Source organism: Homo sapiens, chromosome 3, assembly GCF_000001405.40.
Source record: "Homo sapiens chromosome 3, GRCh38.p14 Primary Assembly".
Classification (NCBI taxonomy): domain Eukaryota; kingdom Metazoa; phylum Chordata; class Mammalia; order Primates; family Hominidae; genus Homo; species Homo sapiens.
In genome coordinates, this window is record NC_000003.12 from 75,782,166 (window position 1) to 75,792,968 (window position 10,803).

The 10,803-nt window shown below is 43.3% G+C and overlaps 1 protein-coding gene across 21 annotated transcripts in view, besides 1 other annotated feature; it reads right to left on the minus strand.

The window, feature by feature from the left end:
• The window catches only part of ZNF717 (zinc finger protein 717), a 90,849-nt gene extending 87,465 nt beyond the window's left edge, over positions 1–3,384 (minus strand). For 9 of the 21 annotated variants that reach the window (XR_007090409.1, XM_047447041.1, XM_011533251.2 and 6 more), the window contains exons 1-3: positions 3,341–3,384; positions 2,750–2,837; positions 1,141–1,199 (exon numbers count right to left, since the gene is read on the minus strand). Coding sequence is in view for 17 of the 21 variants with exons in the window: in XM_047447041.1 (XP_047302997.1) it covers positions 1,141–1,199; positions 2,750–2,837; positions 3,341–3,352 (159 nt within the window). In the remaining 4 variants the exon portion in view is untranslated. Of the gene's footprint in view, positions 1–1,140; positions 1,200–2,618; positions 2,840–3,218 lie in introns of those variants that run through there. The other 12 variants (NM_001290210.2, NM_001290208.3, NM_001324028.1 and 9 more) reach the window with 9 other exon arrangements.
• Positions 3,497–3,646: an enhancer, noted in NCBI's record as "active region_20105". NCBI's record gives its function as "activates an Ori minimal core promoter by ATAC-STARR-seq in GM12878 lymphoblastoid cells {active_cell/tissue: GM12878}" and the evidence as "EXISTENCE:reporter gene assay evidence [ECO:0000049][PMID:35858748]".

Below are 10,803 nucleotides of genomic sequence, written 5' to 3' on the forward strand. Positions count from 1 at the left end.
TAAATTTGACTATTATTTAGGTTAATGGTGAGTTTAGAAGAAATAAGTTAGGACTACACAGAGTGGGCTAAAGTGCAAATAAACACTGGAAGTATTTCCCAGAAAATATAACTTTGAACAGGCTGCTGCACACCCTGCATGTAGAGATAAACTAAGATAAAGGTGTGGAGAGTTATTTAAGGACCTGTGGTTAACTCAGTTCTCAAGATGTTCCAGGTTTCATCCATGAATCAAGGAGCACCTCCCAAAAGCTGTTTGGGACCACACTCTTTGAGCAAGGAGCATACCTTACAATGGAAGCTGTGCTTTGGCAGCAGATGCCCATTTCCACTGCACAACAGGCCGTGCTTTAGTGGAAGATGACTGTTTCCACTGCACAACACTACAAGTGTTTACTGCCAGGCTGGTGTGAAATATGTTCCACCACAGCAAGGAGCATACCTTATGATGGAAGCTGTGCTTTAGCGGCAGATGACCATTTCCACTGCACAACACACTGTGCTTTAGCGGCAGATGACCATTTCCACTACACAACACACTATGCTTTAGCAGCAGATGACCATTTCCACTGCACAACATGCCGTGCTTTAGCGGACGATGACCGTTTCCACTGCACAACACACCGTGCTTTAGCGGCAGATGACCATTTCCACTGCACAACACGCCGTGCTTTAGCGGATGACGACCGTTTCCACTGCACAACATGCCGTGCTTTAGCAGAAGATGACCGTTTCCACTGCACAACACTACAAGTATTTACTGCCAGGCTGGTGTGAAATATGTTCCAGCACATAACCTATGTCACCACCGAAGGTGGTGGTTCAGACTTGGTGCACACAAGCTTTCCTGTCCCACAAGAACACAGCATGCTCTCTTCGCGGGTTCCATTCCAATCACGTAACAACCATGACTGACTTTTTTGTCACTGCATCAGAAAGATCAGAGGAAAATTTGCACTCAACTTAGACAACTCTAAGCTCTTACAACCTGTCTATATCTACAGGTCAGCTTTATCTTATTTATGTATATTTCCTTCAACCTGAGTTTTACTTATTTCCACTTTTCTTTTTTAATTCACAGACACCCATAAACTCAGAAAATACAGTGTAAAACAAAGTGAAGAACAAATAAACAACTCACCAGAGATTTATTCTTTTCTTGTAGCTCTTGGAAACAGCCAGAGAACACTGGAAACATAGCTGAGAGAGAAGGCAAATGACGTGAATTAAGGAGAGAACTGGTGTGGTGTGGTCCCAGATTCTTCTGCCCAACACTCTAGACACATTACCTGGAAAAGCCCTCCTCCCTCCTGAAAAAGAAAAACTTCCCCATGGGAGAAGAGTCCTTCAAGCCTCATTAGGGGCAGCAAAGACTCAAGATAAGATACATCTACAAGTACATTAATTGGTAGACATTAGATGCACAATTTATTTTGAATAAAAATATGTATTACCTACTAATTTAGCAACAATATTACCTAAAGATACAATCTAATAATTTAATACAAAGAAACATTATAAGTTCACTAAAATAAATGTTATAGAAATATACTGGGCTGTATTAACTATTTTCCTATTAATATGTGGATTCCACAAATAACTTCATATGAGTGTTCCCATGACAGTACATCTTGCTTTTCTATACCTGAACATCATGGAAAGTGCATCTTGCAACCCAGCAATTTTGGCCTACAATTACTTTTTTTTAAATGTACATAATATGTATTTCCTGCAGTACACCATTCTACTCATGTTTCCCAATAACACCTTTCCCTGTATCCAAGCCCTCATATTATGCTCTGACAATAAATTGGGCTTTTCCATCTGACTTGTCCAGTGAATGGACAATGGAAAATGTGATGCAAATATCCATTGGTTCTTGCCTTTTTGGACACAGTCATATTGTGAGGAGGTCTGGAGCTACCCTGGTGGAGACACAGGGCCTAGCCAAGAGTCACCACAAACCGCCAGATTGTGAAGGAAACTATCTTAAACCAACCAGGCTCAGTCAACCCACCATGTGACCAAGGCCTCTTTTGTGATCCAGGCAACATAAATATATCAACTACCCAGCTGAACCCACCACACCAAAATGCAGATCCACAGAACTTCAAACAAATAAAATGGTGGTTGTTTTTTATAAGCCAGTAAGGTTTAATTAGTTCCTTAAACAGCAAGTATTAACTGTTACACCTAAGTGAACAGAATTCAATATGTTTTTAACAAAATTACGTAGGGGGAGAAAGTCTTAAATTACAAATCAAATACAATCGATAGAACTTCACAATCTAATGCTAAAGCTAAATTTGGTGATGGACTAGGTTTAATATATCTCAAACGCTGGAAACAACGAGGAAAGGTTGAAGGAATGGGACTGTGTTTGGAGAGTATTTTAATCTTCTCAGGTATGACAGGTCACTCCTGTACCCCAGACCACACTTTCAGGCCCCTTCAAATAAGGAATATTTCCTAGGTCCTTGCCTGTTCTTCTCAGCCGAATTCACCTCAACCTTCTGAAAGTTCGTCCAAACCTACCACTGTCACCTAGTCTTTGCAAATCTTGTGCATTCTAGGGAGTAGAATTAATATTTCCCGAGCGAGGAAAACTGGGATCTTCACCTGTGACCTTTTATCCTCCTCTGAAGCACCAGTGGGAGGTTAGACCAGAGGGCTGTTCTTTCAAGTGCGCTTCTTATTCATAGGGAACCCTCCCTTTCAAACCTTATAACACACGGTTAAGACTGAAGTACCCTTAAGGCTGAAGACCATCATCCAGTACCCCATCTCCCTCGCGGCATCAGTGAGTTCTTCCCTGGAAACTAGGTCTCGTATAAACTTCTGTAAACGCAACCCAGGAGGACTAGGCAGGTCACACAGTGAAGGAGGGAACCAGAAACTTCACTTGCTAAAGAGACACCGGGAAACCCAACTAATACAAACGCCCAGTTTAAGACTCGAGGCGCACGCGTTTCGCACTACTCCTCTGGGAATGGGGAACGTCTCCCGAGAACTGTGTGTTCGCACTGGGACAGATGGGCAAACTGAGCGTCATGCGGGTTGGTAACCGGCTCCCTCAGCGGCAGGACAGGAGCGCGGCCTGCAGACTCCGGGCCCAGGGCCACCGGCCTCGCCTACCCGCTCCTGCGCCTCTAGAACCCGCTTCACTGCCGGGACCCCACGCCTGTCCTCCCAGCCCCCGCCAGGGTCCGCGGCCTGCACCTGCACTTCAGGCCCTGCCCGCCCGCGATGCGCCCACGCGTCTGCTCCCACAACTGGGGAACACTGGTCCGGCCCCCCGGGATCCCCCGGGCCCACGGGTTCCTCTTCGCCCTCGCACCGACCCGCAGGGACATAGAACCAAGCCCCAGGCTGGCCCAGCTACAAGACCGCCTCTGGGTGCCGCACTTCCGGAGGAAAATGGCGGAGTGGGCGGGGCGGCGCATGCGCAGAGAGAAAAGCTGGTTCCCAAGGTCCTTGATGGTAACATCATTGGAAGGTGACACTACATTTCCCATGAGGCTCTGCGGTCCCCGGTTAGGAACCCAAGCCGGACATTCTGTTTTGCCCAGCAGTGAGTCCAGTTACCCAGAGACCCGGACTTAATGGATCAGGACTGGTCCCTACCCAGGTGACACAGATGTGGCATTCTGGTTCTTTATTAAATCCTGGTTTCACAGCCTGGCACATTGTGAAAATAATGGAGAAATTTCAATAGAGGCCAATTGGTCTATGCTATTAATGAGTAACTTTTTTTTTTTTTTTTTTTTTGAGACGGAGTCTCACTCTGTCACCCAGGCTGGAGAGCAATGGTGCGATCTCGGCTCACTGCAACCTCCGCTTCCCGGGTTCAAGCGATTCTCCTGCCTCAGCCTCCTGAGTAGCTGGGATTACAGGTGCGCGCCACCACACTCACCTAATTTTTGTATTTTTAGTAGAGACGGGGTTTCACCATGTTGGTCAGGCTGGTCTCGAACTCTTGACCTCGTGATCCGCCCTCCTCGGCCTCCCAAAGTGCTGGGATTACAGGCGTGAGCCACTGCGCCCAGCCCTCAAGTCTATTTTTTATAAATGCATTCGAAAGCATGAAAAAAATCATGTCTCTATTTTACTTTAAAATTTTAAAAACACAACTAATGAATATGGTAATTCTCTTCCAATCCGTTATCTTTTCTCTCACTAAACTAATTTATAAGCCTTCAATTTACACAGTTACAAAAAATGCTCTAGTGCATATACTGGGATAAAATAACAGGGTCATAAGACAGGTGCACTCCATAATCTTTGTGACAACTTACACTTCCAGTGTCTGATAAATATTTGCCCATAAACTCCCACGTTTCATCCATCCACCAATCAATCAAATCTAGCTATCTTTATTTATTTATTGTGAGAAAGACCTGAACTTTGCCTTTCCTTCCCTGATTTCTGCCACAAACTAGGCAAGGATTTCTGCCTAGGGGTTTCTCAGAGCTCCGGCCACCACCGAGGTTCCTAACAGGGAAACGCAAGCTTGAATGCTCAGGGTTGATGTGGGAGTGCGTGTGAAACGGGGTTGGGGTGAAAGGGCAGTGAAGTTTGTAGGTGGGCAGATGAGGGTGTGAAGGGCTTTCAGGTAAGAGGCACGCAGGAGACTGGGAGAGGCAGCGAAAGCACCTCACGCCTCAGATCACCAGAAGACGCTTCCACCAGTGCCGTGACAGTTTGCCAATGCCACGGCAGCACGGGAAGTCCCCACCCCTTGCCATGGAAACAGCTGGAAGTTACTGCCCATTTCTAGCTATTTCTGAATAACCCGCCCCTTAATTAGCATGCCATTAAAAGTGAATTATAAAAATGACTGCAAGCCACCCCCAGGCTGCTACTCTGGGAGCACAACCCACGGAGGGCTCCCTGCCCTGCAGGAGTGGACGCAGGGCTGTAACACCGCCAGTGCCTCCGTAGAGCTGCTTTCTTCCACCACAGGCTTGCTTTTGGATTCCTTCCTGAGCGACGCCAAGAACCTGCCCTTCCTCAGTGTGACTCTTGCCTAAAACCTATCCCTGGTTTTCTCTTTTCCTAAGCATGCCCTGACTTGTTCTTTCATCTCCTCGGATCTTGCAATTGCTCCTCAGTGACTCTATTCTGCAGATCCAGAAAACTCAACCTTAATCTTCCCAGAGCCCTGTTGTCTCCAATATCGGAATCTCTAGCCTTGCTTTCTCAGACGCCTAGATTACAGGCCTCTCTCTTGAACACCTATTGGTATGGTATCTGGGGATCCTTTAAATACACGATGATTGGCAGGGGTTACATAGCGGAAATCAGTGCCTGACAATTTGCCTTCCAGGATATGGACTGTCATTCCCTCTCTTGGTGGGCCTCAGTCTCTTATCCATAAAAGTAGAGATTGTAATACTCATTTGAATTGCAGATACCTCAACCTGAACCCACCTAATATAACGTAAAAGCCAAGACTGCAACCCCTTTCCTCACCACGTGAAGGTGAAGTCCTCAGAGCCAAGGAGAGAAGGCTCAGGGATGATACCTGGGTGTCTCCGACGCTAACCATGTATTGCAGTTTTTAGTGTTCAAGTTTAAGCTTCCCCAGCTTTAATTCTATTGTAACAAGATTTATTTTTGTAATTCCATTTTTGGATTCTTGATTTCTTGGTAAAGAAATACAGTTATTTTTGTATATCAATCTTATATAGTGTTACATTCTTAAATTTGTTCATGAGTCCTAATACTTTTTAGTAAATTTCTTACGATTTTCTAAATGCAAGATCATGTCATCTGTACATAAAGATAACTGTACTTCTTCCTTTCCAATCTAGATGCCGTTTATTTATTTACGTTGCCAAGTTGTCCCAGCTACCACTGTTATCAAGTAAAAGGGTCTCACTGCCCAAAGCACTAGAAGCCGGTACCACGACACTGAGTTTTCGAGAAAAGAAAAAGTTTAAAGTCAAACCAAAACCTATGGGGTACAGGCCGGGCGCAGTGGCTCATGCCTGTAATCCCAGCACTTTGGGAGGCTGAGGCGGGCGGATCGCGAGGTCAGGAGATCGAGACCATCCTGGCTAACAGAGTGAAACCCCGTCTCTACTAAAAATACAAAAAACAAAAATTAACCGTGCGTGATGGCGGGCGCCTTTGGTCCCAGCTACTCAGGAGGCTGAGGCGGGAGAATGGCGTGAACCCGGGAGGCGGAGCTTGCAGTGAGCCGAGATCGCGTCACTGCACTCCAGCCTGGGAAACAGAGCGATACTCCGTCTCAAAAAAAAAAAAAAAAAACCTATGGGATACAGTAAAAACACTACTACAGTACTAAGAGGTAAATTTATAGCAAAAAGCACCTGCATCAAAAAAAGTAGAAAAGCTTCAAATAAACAACCTAATAATGCATCTTAAATAATTGGAAAAGCAAGAGCAAACCAAAACCAAAATTAGTAGAAGGAAACATAGCAAAGATCAGAGCAGAAATAAATGAAATTGAAATTTAAAAATATAAAATATCAATGAAATGAAAAGTTAATATTTTTTAAAAGACCAACAAAATCAACAAACATTTAACCAGACTAAGAAAAAAGAGAGAAGACTCAAATACATAAAACCAGAGATTAAAAAGGAGATACTACAACTGATACTGCGGAAATTCAAAGAATCATTAGAAACTATTATGACTGACTATATTCCAATAAATTGAAAAACCTGGAAGAAATGGCCAGGCACCGTGGCTCATGCCTGTAATCCCACCACTTTGGGAGGCCAAGGAAGGTGATCACCTGAGGTCAGGAGTTCAAGACCAGCCTGGCCAACATGGTGAAACCCCATCTCTACTAAAAATACAAAAATTAGCCAGGCATGGTGTCATGCACCTGTACTCCCAGCTACTCCAGAGGCTGAGGCAGGAAAATCACTTGAACCTGGGAGGCAGAGGTTGCAGTGACCTGAGATTGTACCACGCTCCAGCCTGGGTGACAGAGCAAGACTCCATCTCAAAAAAAAGAAAACAAAAAAACAACCAAACAACAAACCTAGAAGAAATGGATAAATGAAATTGAAGCCATAATAAAACATCTCCTAGTAAAGAAAAGCCTGGATCCAATGGCTTCACTGGCTTCACTGATTAATTTTACCAAACATTGAAGGCAGAATTACTATCAATCCTACTTAAACTATTCCAAAAAACAGAGAAGGCTGTAGTATTTCCAAACTCATCCTATGAAAAAGACCATTCATCATGTCTAAGTGGGATTTATCCCGAGGATGCCAACATGGTTCAACATATGCAAATCAATCAATGTGACACATCATATCAACAGAATGAAGGACAAAAACCATATGATAATTTCAATTGATGCTGAAAAGCATTTAATAAAATCCAACATCCCTGTGATAAAAAGAAACCCTCAAAAAAAAACTAGATATAGAAGGAACATACCACAACACAATAAAAACCATATGCAACAGACCCACAGCCAGTATCATCCTGAACAGGGAAAAGCTGAAAGCCTTTCTTCTAAGATCTGGAACAAGACAAGAATGTCCACTTCCAACACACAGTACTGGAAGTCCTAGCTAGAGCAATTCAGACAAGAGAAAAACAATAAAAGGGATCCAAATTGGAAAGAAGTAAAATTATTACTGTTTTCTTGTTTGCAGATGATTTGATCTTATATTTGGAAAAACCTAAGGACTCCACCAAAAAACTATTAGAACTGATCAACAAATTCAGAGTCACAGGATACAAAATCAAACTACAAGAGTCGGTAGCATTTCTAAATGACAAAAATGAACAATCTAAAGAAGAAAATCAAGAATGTAATCCCATTTACAATAGCTACAAATAAAATAAAATATCTGGGAACAAACATAACAGAATAAGTGAAAGATCTCTACAATGAAAACTATAAAACACTGATGCAAAAAAATTAAAGAGGACACCAAAAAAAATGGAAAGATTGTCCATGTTCATTGATTGGAAGAGTAAATATTGTTAAAATACCTATACTTCACAAAGCAATCTACAGATTCAATGCAATCCCTATTGAAATACCAATAACACTCTTTACAGAAATAGAAAAAAAATCCTAAAATTTATATGAAACCATAAAAGACCCAGAATACCGAAAGCCATCCTGAGCAAAAAGAACAAAACTGGAAGAATCACATCACCTGACTTTAAATTATACTACAGAGCAATTGTAAACAAAACAGCATGGTACTGGCATAAAACAGACACATAGACCAATGGAACAGAATAGAGAACCCAGAAATAAATCCATACATTTACAATTAACTCATTTTCAATGAAGGTGCCAAGAATATACATGGGGGAGAGGACAGTCTCTTCAACAAATTGTGCTGGGAAAACTAGATATTCATTGGCAGAATTTTTTTTTTTTTTTTTTTTTTTTTGAGATGGAGTCTAGCTCTGTTGCTCAGGCTGGAGTGCAGTGGCGTGATCTGGGCTCACTGCAAGCTCCACCTCCTGGGTTCACACCATTCTCCTCCTCAGCCTCCCAAGTAGCTGGGAGTACAGGCGCCTGCCACCATGCCTGGCTAAATTTTTTTTTTTTGTATTTTTAGTAGAGACGGAGTTTCACCGTGTTAGCCAGGATGGTCTCAATCTCCTGCCCTCATGATCCGCCCACCTCGGCCTCCCAAAGTCATTGGCAGAATAATTAAACTAGAACCCTCTCTTGCACTATATACAAAAATCAAATCCAAATGGGTTAAAGACTTAAATCAAAGACACGAAACTGCTGAAAGAAAACATTAGGGAAACTCTCCAGGAAATTGGTCTGGGCACAGATTTCTTGAGTAATACTCCAAAAGCTCAGGCAACCAAAGCAAAAATGAACAAGTGGTATCACATCAAGTTCAAAAGTTTCTCCATAGTAAAGAAAACAATGGGCAAAGTGAAAAGACAATCCACAGAATGGAAGAAAATATTTGCAAACTATATATCTGACAAGGGATTAATAACCAGAATATATAAGGAGCTCAAACAACTCATAAGAAAAAAACTAACAATCCAATTATTTAAATGGGCAAAAGATCTGAACAGACATTTCTCAAAAGAAGGCACACAGGTCAGGCACAGTGGCTCACACCTGTAATTCCAGCACTTTGGGGAGCCAAGACAGGTGGACCACTTGAGCCCAGGAGTTCAAGACCAAACTGAACAACATAGCAAATAATTTTAAAAACTACCTGGGCATGGTGATGCATGCCTGTGGTCCCAGCTACTCAGGAGGCTGAGGTGGGAGGATTGCTTGAACCCTGGCAGTCAACACTACATTAAGCCATGATCATACCACTGCACTCCAGCCTGGGTGACAGACTGAGACCCTGTCTCAAAAAATGAGCAAAAACAAAAAAGAAGATATATAAATGTCAAATAGGGATATGAAAAGATGCTCAATATCATTGATCATCAGAGAAATTGAAATCAAAACTACAATAAGATATCATCTTACCCCATTAAAATGGCTTTTATGCAAAAGACAGGCAATAAATGCTTGCAAGAACGTGGGGAAAAGGGAACACTCTTACTCTGTTGGTGGGAATGTAAATTAGTACATTCACTATGGAGAACAATACGGAGGTCCCTCAAAAAATTAAAAATAGAACTATCATATGATCCAGCAATCCCACTGCTGGGTATATACCCAAGAGAGGGAAAATTAGTATATCAAAGAGATATCTGCATTCCCATATTTATTTCAGCATTATTCATAATAGCCAAGATTTGGAAGCAACCTAAGTGTGCATCAACAAATGAAGGGATAAAGAAAATGTGGTGCATATACACAATGGAGTACTCTTCGGCCATGAAAAAGAATAAGATTCTGTCATTTGCAACAACATGGATGGAACTAAAGGATATTATGTTAAGTACAATGAGCCAGGCACAGAAAGACAGACTTTGCACGTTCTCACTCATTTGTGGGAGCTAAAAATTAAAACAATTGAACTCATCAAGATAGAGAGTAGACTGAGAGCTTCCAGAGGCTGGGAAGAGTAGCGGTGTTACGGGATCTTTGGAGTGTTACTTTTCTGGACAGAAACCTCTATGGCTGGTGGCACCTTTGCCTGCGTTTTGCTGGGCCCCACCCACTCAGCCTGGCAGGCTGTGCTCAGCTCATGCTACCAGGTTGGATCCCACGCCTGCCAAGGGAGACTGCATGGAGTGGCAAGGGGTGTGTGAGTGAGCATGGGGTCTGGCCACTGTGCAGTCAGACTTGCTGGCTGCTGCAGTGGGGCAGGTGGCTCCAGGTGCCAACACGGGCACCAGCTCTCTACAAGGCTGTGGCTGGACCACGGGCACCGCAAGCAGCTTCCACAGCTGGCACACTGGGAACACAGTGGCACCCAGAAGCTTGGAGATACCAGGAACCACAGGGCCCTAAAGAGGGAATCACAGCCCTGGCTCGGGGAGCTCCAGGTCTGGGCTCCCCAAAGGGCCACAGCTCTTCTTTCCTTCTCTTTGCCCACAATGTGGCAAGCAAGGGGCATGTCTCAGCCCTGCTTGTGTTACAGCTCTTTCAGCCTCTTCCCTAGATTTGCCATAATTAATTCCCATATCGTCTTATTTTTTTACATGTGTTTCAACTTCAGAAGATGTATGGATCTAAACACAACATGATGTGTTAGCTAGCTTCCATATGAGTTTCTCCCTGTTTCACCACTATGTAGCCTAAAGTTATTCCGTCATCCACGACTATCCTGGCTAAAGAGTCTGAAGATCTTTATTTGGTAGCTACGGCTTCAGCTAGTTCATTTGCTAAGTTACCTAGAGTGGTTGACAGATTTCTAA